Consider the following 18,158-nt stretch of genomic DNA (forward strand, 5'->3'; position numbering starts at 1 on the left):
GATAGATCAATGTAAACCATCCAAATCAAAGCACAGAGAAAAAATAGACAAAAGGAAAATGAACAAAGCTATAATATCTTCAAGGATATTATGCAGCTTAACAATTATGTGGTTTACAGGTACAGAAGGAGAGAGGACAGAGAGATTGGGGTAGAAAAATATCAGGAGAAATGGTGACCAAAAAGTTTTGAAATTTGTTGAGAAACATAAACCCACAGATGCAAGAAACGTAACAAATCCCAAGCAAGATAAACACAAAGAAAATCAACACATACGCACATTATGAAAACCAAAGAAAAAATTCTTAAAAATAGCCAGAGGAAGAAAGACACATTGCCTACAAGCAAACAGTGATAAAAATTATCAGTGACATCTCATCAGAAACAATGCAAGCCAGAAATCAATGTATGTCAATCTAAGAATGCTGAAAAGAAACAAAAATTGTCAATCTAGAATTTTGTGTTACCGAAAATATTCTTTAAAATGAAGCTGAAATAGAGACATTTTCAAATGAACTAAAACTTAAAGAATTTGTCACCACTAGACTTTCACTTAAAGAAATGTTATAGAAAGTTTTTCAGCCATGCGCGATGGCTCATGCCTGTAATGCCAGCACTTTGGGAACCCGAGGCGGGTGGATCACGAGGTCAGGAGTTCAAGACCAGCCTGGCCAAGATGGTGAAACCCTGTCTCTATGAAAAATACAAAAGAATTAACTGGGTGTGGTGTCTGGCGCCTGTAATCCCAGCTACTCCGGAAGCTGAGGCAGAGAATTGCTTGAACTGGGGAGGTGGAGGTTGTAGTGAGCTGCGATCGCGCCACTGCACTCCAGCCTGGGCGGCAGAGTGAGACTCCATCTCAAAAAAAAAAAAAAAAGAGTTTTTCAGGCTGAAGGAAAATAATACCAGATGGTAACTTAGATCTACAGAAAAAAGTAAATAGGGCCAGAAATGGTGAATATGTGGACAAAAAAAAAAAATGCTTTTCCCCCCCACATTTCTTGATTTATTTTTATTAAAAGAATTTTTAAAATTTCTAAGTCAAAAACAATCATAGTGTATGTGGGTTTTATAATATATTTTGGAAGGCAATATATGACAATAATTAGACAAAAGATGGGAGTAGGGTAAATGATACTATGCTGTTGTGAATTTCTTATATAATTCATGAAGAGGTATAATGTTTAGGGTAGCCTATGATAAGTTAAGGATGCATATTTCAATCCCTAGAGCAAACATTAAAATTCTAAGATAGATACGTAGCTGAGAAGCCAGTTGAGGGGATAAAATTGAACAGTGAATAAATATTTGATTAATCCAGAAGAAAGGAAAGGAGGAAAAAGAACAAGGAAGAAAGAAACAATAAAAAACAAAGATAGGATGAATAGAACCCAAAAGCAAGATGATAGACTTAGCACCAACCATATCAATAATTACATTAGACATAAATCGACCAGATACTCCAGTTGAAAGACAGAGATCATACTGGATTTAAAAAAAACCAAGACCCAACCATGCTGTTTCAAGAGATGCATTTTATGATATTTTATTACTTTAAAAATTTTTAAATAATTTTAAAATTGTAGAAAAGTTGTGAGAATAAGAATAGTACAAAGAGCCATATACCTCTTTATTTGGATTCAGCTGTTCTTAACGTTTTACCACTTTTTTCCTGTTTTCTCTCTGTATATATGGACACACACATGCATTTTTCTTTGAAAAATGGGCAGCAAGTTATCTACTCTGCTGTCTATATTCTTGTTTTGTTAACTGACCCAGTAATGTTCTATATAGCAGTATTTTTGCCCCTCCAGTAGAGAAACCAGTTTAGAATCAGGTGTTTCATTTAGTTGTCTTTAAACTTGAACATTTATAGTCTTTTTTTTCTCTTTTCTGATAGTGGCACTTTTGAAAAATATGTATCTCTCCCCTTTTAATACAAGTTTGTCATTTTGGGTTTAAAAGATACACTTTAAACATAAAATTAAATGTATGAGAATGGAAAGAGATAACCATGAAATACTAATAAAAATAGCTAGTATTACACAAATACATCAGACATTTTTAGAATATATAAATGTAATTATTTGTATTATACTACTATGACATTTAGAACTTGAATACATCAAGGCCTAGATAGTATGTTATGGACTATGTAATTTTACTTATGGCAAGGTCATAAAATACTTTGTGAATAAGTTTTTATGACCCCCCCCCATCTTTGGCTTTTACTTATGTTCTGAACTGAAAACAATTATTAAATCTGTTAGGATCCTATTTAGAATACTACCATGAGGAATTAGTTATGATAATAAACAAAGTAAGATATCATGTCTTCCCTAACTCTGCTTACTTTGTAATTGTCAGATGTATATAATTCCTGTACGGCTGAAAACGAAACCCATTATTTCATAATAAAGATGATTGTAATGAACTAAGCAACTTTAAATTCCATCAGTTATTAACAGGTGAAATTTACAGATTAAAAATAGGTTTTTCTGGCATATTAAATGAGTTATACGTTTCATACATGTAGTTTCAAATGAGTGATTTGGCCACATGTTCTCACTCATAGGTGGGAATTGAACAATGAGAACACTTGTTCACAGGAAGGGGAACATCACACACCAGAGCCTGTTGTGGGGTGGGGGGATGGGGGAGGGATAGCATTAGGAGATATACCTAATGTAAATGACGAGTTAATGGGTGCAGCACACCAACATGTCACATGTATACATATGTAACAAACCTGCACGTTGTGCACATGTACCCTAGAACTTAAAGTATAATAAAAATAAAATAAAATAAAATAAAATAAAATAAAATAAAATAAAATAAAATAAAATGAGTGATTTGGGGATTCTGTCTTTAAGTTACGGAATGAGTTGTTTAAACAGCTTTATTGAAATATAATTTACATGCTATAAAGTTTACCTATTTAAAGTATAGATTTCAGTGGTTTTTTAATTATATTTATGGAGTTGTACAACCATCACAATCATATCATTTTAGAACATTTTCATCTATGCCAAAAGAAACCTTGTATCTATTAGCAGTCACTCCTCATATCCCACTCCCTTTACCTCTAGGCCTAGCCTGTTAGGTACTGATCTACTTTTTGGAAATGACTTATTTTTATCATAGATCTATGATCTTTATTTTTTTATTTTTCTAAAATATGGGTCCTTGGAAATTTTATAGTTTAAGAGAAAGTAGACAAGATGAATTTAAGACACTAAAAGAGGTATCAATTATGTGTTATATCTCTCAGAAACTTGTAGTCTCCACATTAATTATACACTTGGCAGTGCTGTTGCTGTTCCACGTTAATGCATACATGTACCAATGGCATAAGCTATTTGACAGAGAAAGAACATAGAACTGAAACCGTTCTAATGAAAGGTGAGAGGTCTGACATAGAAATAACATTTTATTTCATGTATTTTGTTTAATTGCTCTGAGGCCAAGATATGGCAGTGTTCTTTGCATTTTTGCTTGCTTTCTCTTTCCGCACTTTTCTTCGCCTCTTAACTATCTACCTTTCTGCCCTTATCTTTTTTCTTAAGCATGTTGTGGAAGAATGGCCTTAGTCATGAGTTGAGTTAATCTGTTGATTGTTTCTTAACTATGTATTCTACTCATCTTTATTATTGCCCTATAAATTTGAGCATAGAGCATTTTTGAATAAGAGGTTCATATAAATATTTTAATTTGTAATTGCTATGCAATAAAAATTGTTATATAACTTTTAAATTATTTTTAGATTTCCATGTTTTCTAGTTCTCTCAGAATTCTTTCAGGTTATACAGTACTGAGTATTAAGCTATATACCCATCAATAACCTAGATGGCTAATGGCACAGACACACAGACAGACTAATGTTGCTGAATGTAAGAAGAGTAGTAGATGTAATATGTAATGTTATTATTCTGAGACATGTTGAATGGCCCAAGAAAGGTTTTGGAGATTGATGATGAGTTGATCCTTGGAGGATTTGTAGAGGTAGAGGAGATGGGAAATGGCACTCCAGGCAGATGGAAAGGCTCATGAGATAGTATTTGCAAGTGGCAAAAAAGGAATGAATAGACAAGGATATTCAGGGATAGGTAAGAAGAAGAGTTTAGCATAAATGAAGGTTTATTTTGTGGATCTGATGAAAAGCTTGGATAGGTAGATTTGGGTGCAGGTTGTGAAAACCTGTTAGGGTTATCTAAGTGGTTTGTGATTTATCTTTACAGTAATAGTTTCTGAACCTGGTTACACATTTGACTTATCTAGGGATTGATTCTTAGCTCCATCTTACACCTTATGACAGTCACTGTGGATAAGGACTACATTCTGTTTTTCAGCTCCTAAGGTGATTCTGATATATTTGTTTAGGATCTTGTATTTGGAAGTCTTTGTGTTGGGTAAGTGGTTCTCAATGTATACCTCTTGGACCATCATCAGCATTATGTGGGAACATATTAAAAAATGCAGATTTGTATCCCCACCTTTGATTGACTGAAACAAGAACTCTGGGGGCGGGACCTTCAGGTGATTCTTATGCACACTGAAGTTTGAGGACCTTTGCTGTAGGTAATATGGGAACTTTGGAGATTTATATTGGAGTGTGATGAGATGAAGGAAGATTAATGTGGTAGCAATGAAAAGGACTGAGTAGAGAGGGTAGAGACTAAGACAGGCAAACTATTTTGTAGGCTAGTGGAGAGTCTATGCATATATTACTTGAGGTATTGTTTAGTAGAGAAGTAAACAAGACAGGCTTTGGTGTATGCTAAAGGAATACAAAGAAGGGAGAAGAAGATTTCTAAACCTTTTCAGAGTCTTTTAGAAAATCTGTAAGATGATATGGTCCATCTGCCAGCCTAGTTTCCAGTATGACAGATATTTTAATGATGGTTTAGTGTTAAATTATTGGGACCAACTATGTACTGAGTACTGGGGAATAGAAAAAAATACATGAACACCAGAGACCCCTGGCTGGGAAATATTTAATGTTCATTTATATGGAGGGTTTAGGATGAAGATTTTTGGTTAAGTTTCTATGTACAGTTTTACACATGGGGCTGATTTAGTTTTCATGTACTTGTTGGAGGAGTGTTCTTTAGGTTAGAAATCATTCCTGGAGAACAAAATAATTCAACAGAATACTAGAAGCCTTTAGTTAAATATGTAACAGCATGAATGAAGATGATGGGATATTATGATGAATAGAGTTATAAGTGTTTAGAGTTCAAATTTCTGTATTTCTTTGAATGGAAAACATTTCCTGCTGAAAAGTTGAAATGTTCCTTGTATATTAAATTCTTTGTATAGTAAATTAATTCTTGGAAGAGAGAATACTTTTTGATCTTTTAATGACTTCAGCAGTTTTTTTCCACTGCAACTTGGGCTTTCCCTGGCAGCCAGAACCCATCCTTTAGTTGGAAGGCTCATTTGTCTCAGCGTGTTTTTGTCTGGAGACAGACAGTGAGGAGACAAGGCTATAGCTATCATAGTAACGGGGTGTTATAGTTTTTCCCTGGTGTCAGCCCTGTGACCACACACCATTGCACTCCTTTTTCAGTTTTCACTCTTTTTGAAACTGTGATAATAGAAATACATGTTTTTGCCCTTTTGAGCAGCGGCAGTACCTTCCAAAATGACACCTACTTGGTGACAAGTGTGTCATATTGTTGGCTGTGTGTTTTCAAGTGTATAAAAGACTGAGGTACACTAGAAATACAAAATATTCAATCTTGTTGAATTCTGCATAGCAAAGGAAGAGGATCACTTTGAACAAACCCATCCTCCAGACGTTATGATTCTGTAAAAAATCTAAATTTTTTTCACATCTCATTTCAAAACACAACTGTCGATTTAGCCATTGTTGACTTAAATGTGTAACTCCTTGGCATGCTAAGCAGTGTCTACAGATGGGGACAGTGGGTTCTGATTATACTGTTTACCACTAGCAGTGACACCTAGAACAAGTCACTTTACTTTTTTTAGTGCCTTGATTTCTTTTTTCTGGAGATTAATGGAGACAGAATGTAAAATCGTTTTACTTTTGTTAACTGCCATATAAATGTTTAGTGATAAAATTAACCTCTTGCAGAGAGAGCTTGAAGTTTGCTGTCAGGTAAGAGAATCCACAAAATTATTAGTACTGATCCTTGACCTGGAGGGGATTTTCAAGGAGACAGATGTAATTTCTATTTTGAATTCAGGTCTGAAACTAGGTTATTCTTAGGTTCTGTCGACTTTGATATTTTGGTTACCTGAGGATTCTATACCTTAAAGTAAAACAAACCTATTTTAGTATTTCAGGCCAGAAAACGTATGAGAGTATTCTCGCAGAAATAGTTTTTCGTCATTTCTCAGCCTATAAAACTTTTTGATAACCTCTATTTTGCGTGGCATCGTGAAGTCATGTTGTTGGCCAGGCCATTGAATCTCCACAAAAGTGCTTGCTCCTAGAATGTTTCTTCTGTCTCGTCAGTGGATAATATGCTGCCAAATGAACAGAATATAATTAACATTTACAAGTTAAATTAAAAATCTTCTAAATTCGAGTTTGTTTCTGTAGCACCAGGACTCTCCCTGTGTTGTTTTATGTTCACTACTAATTCTTCAAGCAGGAACTGATGAGCAGCCAGGGAGATTCCTCTGGCTTCTAGTACAGACGTAGCAAATGCCCAAATCAGAGTGCTAGGGTGTCTAATGCATAGTGAAGTGTGATGTCAATGTCATGGACATCTGAATACATTGCGGCAAACTTTAGAAAATAGTAGCTTGGCAGGGGATACCCCAGAATAGGTTGATCTGGTAGGAAGGCTGTTCTCCTTAAATTTTCACATACCTAGGATGGGCCTGCTCGGGCCTCATTACGTCTTGGCCTAGAGAACACAGGTGTAGAAATGGCAGGTCTTCCTTCTCCCTCACTGCCTCCAAAGCTTATCTCTGTCTGGTTTTGTCTGATATTTTAGAGGGTGAACTGTTAAAAGCCAAGTGTCCGTCAGACTCATGCTGCTACCGCTCCTTTAAGTGTGCTCATCAAGATTTGGTGCACCTGGGCCAAGGCAAGAATGTTGCTAGGATCCAAGAGGCCATAATAAGTTGTGGTGATTAATAGCATGAAGTGAAATAGTGTGATGTAGAAAGTGTCATTCTGTGATTTGAGTGAAATTAAAGCTACTGGCATGACCTTCACTGACATATTGCTCTTGCCTACTTGAGAAGGTTTTAGAGCAAAGGTAATTACATTTTCCTGAATTGGTCTTTTTTTTTTTTTTAAGCGTATTTAAAAAAAAAAAACGTTTTCTGATTGTGGAAGCAATGAGTATGTCTGAATCCTTGAGTATAGCGATAGTTCTTCTGATTTTTTTTTTTTTCTGTATGCCAAATTCTTCAGAAACTTGGTGGCTTAAGACATCAACCATTTTATTTCTCATAGTTTTGTGAGTCAGGAATTCATGAAGGCTCCAATGCACAGTGCTTCTACTTGACATGGCATTGGCTGAGAACATTCACTTGGCCACGCATCTGCAGCATGGACTGGTTAGAAGGTCCAAGAAGACTTTATTATGTATCTGGCACCATCACGCTTCTCCACGTGGCTTCTGTTTCACCATATGACCTTGCAGCAGCGTTGTCTCAGGGTAGTTGGACTTCATACATGATTGCTAGCTTTAACTAGAGAGCATTCTAAAGGGTGAAGGCTGCAGGTCTTTTAAGGCCTGGCCTTGGGGCATTACTTGGTATCACGTCTACTGTGTTCTTTTGGTCAATTGGGTAGCTCAGATTTAAATGGAGGGAAAATAGAATTTATTTAGTGTGAAGAGTGGCAAGGAATTTCCAGCTATTTTTTTCTGCCACTTCGTTGTGGACTTTGTAAGTTTGCCTTTATAGACCCACCAGTCAGACACTGGCATGAAGTCATTGTCTTTGGGTTTGTGTCACAAGATAGAGGCCGGTATTTCATTGTCTACTGCTCTTAATTTGTTAGAGAATATTTACGTGATTACCGGATTCAGCAACATTTCACCAGTTTGATCACATTAAAGACCATTCAAGATACATTTAGGAAAATACAAGTCTTTCACAGAACTCCTTTGTTCAAGTGAGTTAATTCTTGGAGTAGTTACACTTTGTCACTTTACACTCAAGTACTGAAATGATTTTTTATATGTTATTAATCCCTTTGATCTTTCTGTTGTTACAGTTTGTCGTATTGCTCCCCATTTTAGAGATGGAGAAACTGTGATGGGTTTTAAATCATGTTTTTTAGCACCAAAGAGTCAAATATGGAAGTCGGCTTGCCCTAGCTTTCTTTTGCAATTTTTAAGTCATTGATTTAAAAGCCTACTTTGGCTTATACTTTGGCATCTTGACATTTTACTTGAGAATCCGTGATAACTTTCAACTGATTCATTTAATTGAAATTATTTCAGTTCACATATTTTTAAAATCAAGGCTTTGTGTTGAGGAATATGGCCAACCAGGGATTTGTTTGTATATATAGAAGTGTGTTTACCACTATACATGTGTTTATGTATTCATGTATGATTGTTTTCTAATTGTGAATATTCAGGATTTCAAGTTTTTTTTTTTTACATTGACAGATATAATTATACATATTTACTGTGTGGATTTCAAGTTTAAAAGAATAGCCATCTCTGCATAGAGATTTGTCTTTTCCTCTTTTAAAATACCAAATATTTTGATAAAGGCACTGAGATTGGTCTAAGCCTTTGCATTACCCTATACAGTCAAGAAAGGTGAGGCTATGTCTTTTTTGTTTTTGGTAGTGGCTTCAGATTAGATCAACTGAATGTTCTGAATATTTTGCTAATTACGGCTATTCCAGTGGTCACTGGGCCTCCCACCATTCCTCTCCAGAGCTGATGGTAATTGCAATAGCTGTGACTTCCTCTCTCCCTGTTTTTAGAAGGTGTTGCTTTCTCTTGTATATCTTGCTTTTATGAAGTGGCTGTCAGCAGGGAGCACAAAGAGCTCTCTGGCAGTTGCTGTTCCTTCGAGAGCATGCTTCTTTTGCCTGTTTGTCACTCCACTGAGTACTGCATTCTGGTAGTGAAGGGAGCAATCCTTCACCACTTTAGTTTGTGCTGCTTATACTCTTGTTCAGGGTTGAAGGCTGGAATATAGAATGGAGGGATATTACTGATACGTGTACCATAACGTGTATGCAAAGCTTAATTTAAAAACTGAGTGGAAGTGAAATTGTAGGATATTAATATTTTATGCCCTTGACTTTAAACCTTCTGTGGTAAAAGGTGATGTAGAAACTGTTATTGCACCATTTCTTCTAATCTTGGCTTGTAAGATCTCCATTAGTTGGAATTCTGCAAATGAAAGACGTAATGAAAGGAGAGTTTTTTTTTTTGTGAATCTTTGCTGTCCTGGGCAAGACTCAGTTGTTCTGGTAAAGAGGTGGCAATAAACACCAATGCAGAAGTCAGACAGTGCACTATAATGTATTGAACCCCATTATTTGGTCTATTTTAAATGTATGTATAATCTGGTTGATGAAGTCTTCTGGATTCTGTTATCCTATTCATGGTCAGTCTTAGTTTTGTTATCTTTACTATCTTAAAGCAGCAAATCTCTTTTGGGATGCACAATTAGAATGGCCTGTGGACCCCACATCTCTAGAGCATGCTTCAGTAGGATTCTAACTGATTCTAATGCACACTCCTGGTTAAGAGGCAGGATTAGTAAGTGATACAGGATTGGTCATACTAAAATCAAATCCATTAAAGTCTTAAGGGGTTGAAGAGGTTTACAGAAGGCAAATTTTGATTCATTTTGAAAGATATGTCATGTTTAGGAGAGTGTTTGTGTTCTGCAACATATAGTAAATGAAGATAGAATTATGAAACTTCATAAATATGGGAAGGTGCTTTAATGTACATTACTATAAAGGGAAAAGAAAAACTAGACATCGGTGCTCTAACTGATCTCCATTTACAGATTTTGGTCAGTTTTATTTAGAGTAGCAGCCCAAAGTTGGCAAACATAGATAATTCCTATTTCTGACTTGAACAGTTGAGAATGTTGACAAATGCATTATTTCATCCAATAATTTCTTGGACTGGAAACAATTATATCATCATGTTAATTGTCTGTTATTAAGAAGGGGGTTTTCTAGGTTGCTTCCCGCCCCCATTTGTTACTTGTATGAATTTTTAAGGCTTATATTGATGAGATTTTCATGTAATGGAGGGGAGAAATTTTTTCCTTTTTAACATGTTCATGTAAAAGGAATTTAGGAAATTATTTTAATCTTGCTGGGAGCTAAGACAAAACACAAAACAAAAACACTGCAGAACAGTTTATGGTCCCATGGACAAATGTTCAGTCTGAACACAAGTACTAGAGAAGACCTTGGAAGGCTGAGGTCAGAATGGGTTAAAGTAGTTGAGTTCATGGGCAAAGGGGGACTTGGCATGTTTTCACACAGTTAAGTATAAATGTATAATATGAACAGCACTATAAAGACCTGGGGGAGATGGGCTTTGGGGGGTTTGTTTGTTTTCTTAGAACATGTTACCAAAAACAAAAAAAAAAGATTGAATACTTTTGGATGATAGGGAGACCTTTGAAGAAGAGATTGGGTGGCTTGGACTTTGCCTTTTAAGCCACGGGCTGCGATTATATTTTTGTTTTGTTTTTACTATGGAAAATTTCAAACATGTTCAGAAATTGAACCAGTAGAATGGTTCCCCATGTATTCATTATCCAGTTTGATCAGTTTCAGCATTATCAATTTATGACTGATACTGTTTTCTATCCCTCCGTATTTCCCTCTCCTTTATTATTTTGAAACAATCCTAGAAATCATACTGTTTTATCTATATTTTAATATGTATCTCTAAAAAATAAGAACTCTCTTTTTAAAATTATACCTAAAAATTGGCCGGGTATGGTGGCTCGCGTCTGTAATCCCAGCACTTTGGGAGGCCGGGGTGGGCAGATCACTTGAGGTCAGGAGTTCGAGACCATCCTGGCCAATGTGGTGAAACCCTGTTTCTACTAAAAGTACAAAAATTAGCCAGGAATGGTGGCCTGTGTCTGTAGTCTCAGCTACTTGGGAGGCTGAGGCAGGAGAATCGCTTGAACCGGGGAGGTGGAGGCTGCAGTGAGCCGAGATTGTGCCACTGCACTCTAGCATGGGTGACAGAGTGAGACTCTGTCTCAAAAATAAAATAATACCTAAAAACTTAATTTCTTTATCATCAAATATCCAGTCAGTGTTCACATTTCCAGTTGTCTCAAATATTATAATTATTTTTTACATTTTGTTTGAATCAGGATCCAAATAAGGTTTAAATATTGCAATTTGATTAATACATTAAGATTCTTTTAATCTATAAGTTCCTGCTCCATCTGTCATTTTATTTTTATCCCTTGAAATTTATTTATTGAAGAAACTATATCCTTTGCTTTGTAAAATTTTCCACAGTGTGGCTGGCTTTGGCTGATTGCTAGCGTCATTTGCTATTTATTTTTGTCCTGTATCTTGGATCTGGCGCCTTGATCAGATTTAAGTTGATTTTTGGGGACGTAATTACTTCATAGGTATTATGCATTTTTGGATAGAGGAGTAAAGTAGTGAAAGTAATGTTTTTAGGATGGTTTGTCTGGCAGCAGTGTGCAAAATGAATTGGTAGAGGAGAAATGGAGAGCTGCGAATTAGAAGGCAGGTTCAATCAGTGCAGGAAGGAAAGGCTACAGTAAGGCAGAGGCAGGGAAAAGAAAGGCAATAGAGATGAGAGAGATTTTGAAAGAAGGAATTTTCAATACCTTTTAGGCTTAACTATAAGAAATGGAGAGTCGGCTGGGCATGGTGGCTCATGCCTGTAATCCCAGCACTTTGGAAGGCCAAGGCCAGTGGATCACCTGAGGTCAGGAGTTCAAGACCAACCTGGCCAACATGGTGAAACCCTGTCTCTACTAAAAATACAAAAAAACTAGCCGGGTGTGGTGGTGGGTGCCTGTAATCCCAGCTACTTGGGAGGCTGAGGCAGGAGAATCGCTTGAACCCAGGAGGCGGAGCTTGCAGTGAGCTGACATTGCACCATTGCACTCCAGTCTGGGCAACAAGAGTGAAACTCCTCAAAAAAAAAAAAAAAAAAAAAAAAAGAGAGTCTTAAGTCAGGTTGAAGTTGTGAACCTGAGTGATTGGGAGTTGGGGTCAGGAAGATGGTGCTTTGTGCATGTTGAATTGAAGGTCTGTGTATTGGTAGACTATCCTTGCAGAATTGTGTTATAGGAAGTGTATTAGTCTGTTTTCACACTGCTGATAAAGACATACTCCAAACTGGGCAATTTACAAAGAAAGAGGTTTAATTGGAATCACAGTTCCATGTGGCTGGGCAGCCTCACAATCATGGCGGAACGCAAGGAGGAGTAAGTCACATCTTACATGGATGGCAGCAGGCCAAAAAAAAAAAAAAAATGCATGTGCAGGGAAATTCCCATTTTTAAAACCATCAGGTCTCATGAGACTTATCACTATCATGAGAACAGCACAGGAAAGACCTGCTCCTATGATTCAGTCACCTCCCACTGGGTCCTTCCCACAACACGTGGGAATTCAAGATGAGATCTGGGTGGGGACACAGCGAAGCCATATCAGGCAGCTAGATTGATCATGGGGGACCAGGGGAGAGGTAAGGGCAGGAAATAGAAATTTAGGGATTCTCTGTCTGCCTGGGAATAGCTGAAGCCATACAAATGGACCAGCTCAGAAACTCGTGAGTGAACTGAGGAGCACTTTCCTTAAGTAGTTCGTCAGCTTAATCGGCTTTCTATAGTTGTCACAGCAAAATATTACACTGTCTTTAGAGACTGGAGTTTCTCATGATGATGCCACATTTTGCCTTTCTTTGCTTCTGCGGTTTTTCGTCATTTATAGGTGATATGGCAGCAGATTTTTGAGCAGAATCCAGCTGCTTTCCGAAGCTGGAGATTCCACTGGGGATGTAGACAGCTTGGGAGGAAATAAAAGCCGAGTCCATAAGTGAGCCTGGGAGGAGTGAAGAAGCAGAGCAAGCAGGACAGAAAGTGGGCGGGGCCAGCTATAGGGAAAGACCTTGGGGTTGAAGGGATTTGATAGACTTGCCTTAGTGTCTTTTAGTTCCTTCAGAAGCCCAGCCTGACCTCCATCATGAGAGAACTAGTTAGTGAGGGTGGGGCACCAACAGTTCCCTTGTGTCCTCTCCTGCTGTTTCTCTCTTATATCCAGAGACTACAGAGAATGTGGTTAATGGGAAACTACAAAACTTATATGTAATCATTTCAAAAGTCCTCCCTAGCTGAAAGGATTTTAAGAAAATGTGCTATTCAGAAATATCCCTTAACCTGTTTAACAGCATCTTATTTACTCATCTGTGTTTTATGAATACTTTTCCCTAGTTGCAGAAGGATGGCAAAATAAATGTTTGCTATCAAATCTATACCTGTAATTCAGTGAAGCATTGAACACAGGTGATGTACCCTTCTTCACAGGGGAATTGTGTTCAAAATCATTTTAATTTTTTATCCTCAGTAAGATTATATAGAAAATCTTATAGCTCTCAAAGGTGCAGATTATATTTTTCTGTAATAGTTCTGGGCTTCCCAAAAATTTTTGTTGGTGTTGCCAAAGAGTTGTGTCACATAAGTGAGTGGCACAAACATTTTTTGACTAGCCACCTGAAAGTTGTGAAGGGTTTTGAAAATATAAAGTAAAATATAAAGTGAACACCACCACTGTCAACAAAATCCACTGCTTTGGATATGATTTCACAGGAAGATGACGGCTGTCACCAATTGAACTACAGCAAATGACGAAAGCTCAGCACGAATTAGCCAGTCTCATTGGGGTGATAAACGACAGCACATTAAATATGTGTTAGCAACGTGATATGGCAGTGAAAAAAGCCAACGCTATTTTTGGCTGTGCTGCACAAAACAGCATCTCGTCACCGAGCTGGGCTGATCATTACTTTCTACCCAGTACTTGTGAGGCAGCATCTGGGATGCTGTCTTGAGTGTAGGACACGTGCGTACTGGAAGGATAGACAAACGGGTAGGAGTCCCAAGCAGAGCATCTGCTGTGACTAAGGACTTTAGATGAGACAAGTTTTAGAAGTGGCATGTTTAGGAATGAGCATGGAAGTAAAGAGATGTTAACCTTTTCAGAGATAGGATGATGTTGAGGAAATACATCATAGACTCCTCATTAGTTGGCATTAGTTTAGTACAGTGCACTTTAGAGGAATTACCCAAATACTTTCACAGACAGCATATCAGCAAAAAGGGGCTCTAAAGCAAAATTAAGCAAGGACTTATTTATGGTCAACTATGTTTTAATCAAGAGATTAACATTGGCAGTGCTTGCTATAATGTGAGAAGGAATAGAAAGTAATAGATTACATAAGTCAGGTGCTTTTGATTGGAAATTCAAATGCAAATATTAAACCTGGGAACAATGGGGGTGAGACTTTATAGTTATCTTTAGAAATTCAAGTAACAAATAAAGGAATTACTTACTTTCCGCAGTAGTATAGGCAAGCACAACAGAAAGAAATAATTTAAGAAATACATAGTATAAACTGAATGTCAGGGAACATTTCTGCAGTGAGAACTATCGGACCATAGGATATTCCCCTAGGAAAATTGGGTTGAATTTCATTGGACATTTGATCCTGACAGAATTGAATGTGTATCAGTAGGGAAATAGACTGAATATCCCTGTAGGCATTTTTCATTTCTCTCTTCTCTGATTCTGGGCCCTGTTGATGATCTGTTCACCTGCTGTGATTAGGAAGAAATTTTATCTCTTGTTTTTCTACACCCAGGCACATTTTAGATGCTTTCCTGATTGACATAGGCTAAAAATGGAGCTTCATTGCCCTGAGGTTGACCTGGTACCATCCCTCCTGGTGTTGTAGAAATTTCTCCTTTCTGTTTGGGAGGCAGTGTTAGGGTCCTTTACCTAAGGTGAATACATGTAATATAAAATGGGCCCATGTGTATAGGGTCAGTGTCTTCTTCAGATATATCTAGTAACCTAACAGGGCTGCAAGCTGGCCTCTTTGGGAGTGAATGATGGTTTTATTTTCCCCTCTTCCCCCAGGACTTGACTTTGAAGAAAAAGGATATTTAGCAGACTAGGAGACCACAGACTTTTACTGTGTCCTGTAGAAATGTGAAAAATTTCAGGTTCCTGGATGGGAAAGGGCTACTGGAGAAGAGCTTGACTCCTTATGCTGTGACAGTGGTGTGTATGCCAGTCTTTCCCTGTAGTAGTATCATTGTATAATCAAAGAAGTAAACTAAAAATGCAAATTTAATTTCAGGTTCATTACAAATGGTCTGTATTTCCTTGTTATAAACTAGTCTATTGGATAAGATTGTTAGATAGATTGTTATCCAATCTTAGTCTATTGGATAAGATTGTTTTCTTAGCTTGGCATTCAAATACCTGTACAATTCGGACAAAGTCTCTGCTTTTCCAGGCTTAGTTTACCCTTTTCTATAGTAATGCTGTATTCCAGTTAAATCAGCCTTTCTTTCTGTCCTCTAAATATGACTCTGTCCTTTCCTACAGTAGTAGTTTTGTTTATTCCATACATCTTTCCTACTGTCCTTGCCCTCATCTCTGAATACCTTCTCTGATATGCTCCAGTCCTCTGTCTTACCTATGAAGCATCCATTGATCATTTCCCTTCAAGAACTCATTGCATTTCTTGTTTTTACCACTCATTTGACATATCTAATAGTTATATTTTTCTTCCTCTACTGAATCCACATCTTTCCTTTTTAATCAGATTAAAAAGGCTCTCTTGAGGACCATTTCTTACATGTCTTTAAATTTCTCACAACTAGTCTTTAAGCCTTTGGAGAGAAGGAACTATGGCTTATTTATGGTGCCTGTCTCTTCCCCTAAACTCACAGAGTTTGGCAGTATGCACTTAATAAATATGTTTTGAACAAATGAGTAGTAGATACTCTATACATATCTATTGATTGATTTAAGATTTGCTATAGACTGAATGTTTATGTCCCCCCTACCCCATATTCATATGTTGAAAGCCAGTCCCCAATGTGATGGTATTTGGAGATGGAGGCTTTGGGAAGTAATTAAGTCATGATAGCAGAGCCCTCATGAATGGAATTAGTGCCCTTGTAAAAGAGGCCCCAGAGAGCTCCCTCGACAGTTCTGCCACGTGGGGTTACAGCAAGAATATGGCCATCTATGAAACAGGACAGGGGTCCTCACCAGACATTAAATTTGCTGATGCCTTTATCTTGGACTTCCCAGCCTCTGGAAATGTGAGGAATACATTTCTCTTGTTTATAAGCTACTCAATCTGTGGCATTTTGTTGTAGTGGTTTGAACTAAGACAAGGTTGAATTTTAAATGCTTTGTAAATGTGTTGAACTTTGTAGATTTAAAAATCATGTAGCAGAAGACTCATAAAGCTACGAAGGTTTGCTATATTCCCAGGAGACCAGTTCCTCCTGCTTTCTCCTAGACCAGCCTGCACTTAAATCATCCCTATATGAAGAGTTTCTGTTGGCCAGGCAGATTGTTAGCTCAGGTTTCCAGATATGAAATGATGTCATGAAATAATGGGCATGAAATAATGTTGGCAAGAGAAACCATTAATAATTGGGACTGTCATAGTATTACTATTATATAGCCAATGCTCGTGCATAGATAATATCATTTCTATCATGGGTGTGACAATAATAGATTTGGAAGAATGGTGAAAAATTTGATAATAGGTTAAGTGAAATTAAACTATACAAACTTGTCCTTTATTCTTTGAAAACGATTTAAATTTTTGATTTTTCATTTTAATTTTCTTACTCGTATTTAAAAATTTTTCCTTCATGTCTTGCTAGTGAAATGTACTTGCTGCAAATTAAATCCATTTCTTTCAGTGATAGCTTTGGTTTGTAATTACCTTCTTTAAGTGTTAAGTCTGTCCTTAGAATCATCAGAGCTTCTATTATGTAATTCTTTGGAGTAAACCCTAGTTAATCAGAGCATGCATTTCACTGGAGGGGCAGCTCAGTGAGTGATGTGAAGGTGTTTCCTCTGAGAAACGGAAACAGTTATGAAGTGTTTTGTGGTCCTTTGGGAGTTGAGGTGCTATAGAAATGTAAGGCTTTTATTACAACTCCTGACCTACTATACAGAACCATGCTAACATCATTGATGATTCTTTTGCATAATCAAAGAATTAAACATAAAAGTCATATTAATTTTCAGCTTCATTAGAGATGCAAGAATCAAAAGAGATGTTTGCCAAATGGGAAGGCACTAAATTGGTAGGAGAAAGAATTTTAATTTCAAGCTTCAAGTGAATGTTATAAATAACCTAGCATAAAAAAGACACTACCAAAAGCGCCTGACAATGTCCTTTTTAAAGATCAGCAACATTAAAAAGGGGAAAATGTAAAAAAGAAAAAAAAAGGGAAAAAAGAAACTATAAAAATATGAAATTAAAATTGCTGTATTTGAGTCAGTTTATGGTAGTAAATTACTTCTGAGAGCCTCAATTTGAAGATCACCAGGTAGTCTATGGTAATTAGTATAATTTTGCTGTGGTCACCAAATCTTTATATTATTTTTGCTGGTCAAACAGCAATACTTTTGCCTTTTTTTTTTTTTTTTTAACTTGGTCGCAGTTGAAGATGATGAAAAATCCATTTACTCGTGAAAGGGTAAATGCAACTTCCTGATGTGAAATAGGGGCATTTAAAGCACTCACATTAAGGAAAGTTTGCATTTTAAATATAAAGTAGTCTTAAAATTTTTCTCTACCCACATATAAACACCATTCCAATATGTGTGAAGAGCTGTTGTTCATCTTGTAGGATCACTAATCACAGGATTAAAGCGATGAGGAAGTATATACAGTGAAGAATGATGCCCTTTTCTTTAAAACAAAAATCTGGAGGCAGCCAGAAGAGCTTGGGAAAATTCTTGTATTTTATATCTATTATGCTCTTGATTTTATATCTACTGTATCTCCCTGATCTGTGGCCAGCTGGGATGCAAATACGGCACAAGAAGTTCACAGTATCAAAGGAGCAAGTGAATAGGACCCCAGAATGTGATTGTTATGAAAGTACTGAGATTATTACATTTAGGCC

At 36.8% G+C, this 18,158-nt stretch overlaps 1 protein-coding gene across 11 annotated transcripts in view, besides 1 other annotated feature; it reads left to right on the forward strand.

Moving 5' to 3' along the window:
- The window catches only part of EXOC4 (exocyst complex component 4), an 847,874-nt gene that overhangs the window by 124,372 nt on the left and 705,344 nt on the right, over positions 1 to 18,158 (forward strand). The window lies entirely within an intron of this gene.
- Positions 8,649 to 9,187: an enhancer, noted in NCBI's record as "NANOG hESC enhancer chr7:133070852-133071390 (GRCh37/hg19 assembly coordinates)". NCBI's record gives its function as "activates a minimal SCP1, AML or CMV promoter by ChIP-STARR-seq in primed H9 embryonic stem cells {active_cell/tissue: H9 hESC(primed)}" and the evidence as "EXISTENCE:reporter gene assay evidence [ECO:0000049][PMID:30033119]".

Source organism: Homo sapiens, chromosome 7 (genome assembly GCF_000001405.40).
Source record: "Homo sapiens chromosome 7, GRCh38.p14 Primary Assembly".
NCBI classification, from domain to species: Eukaryota; Metazoa; Chordata; class Mammalia; order Primates; family Hominidae; genus Homo; species Homo sapiens.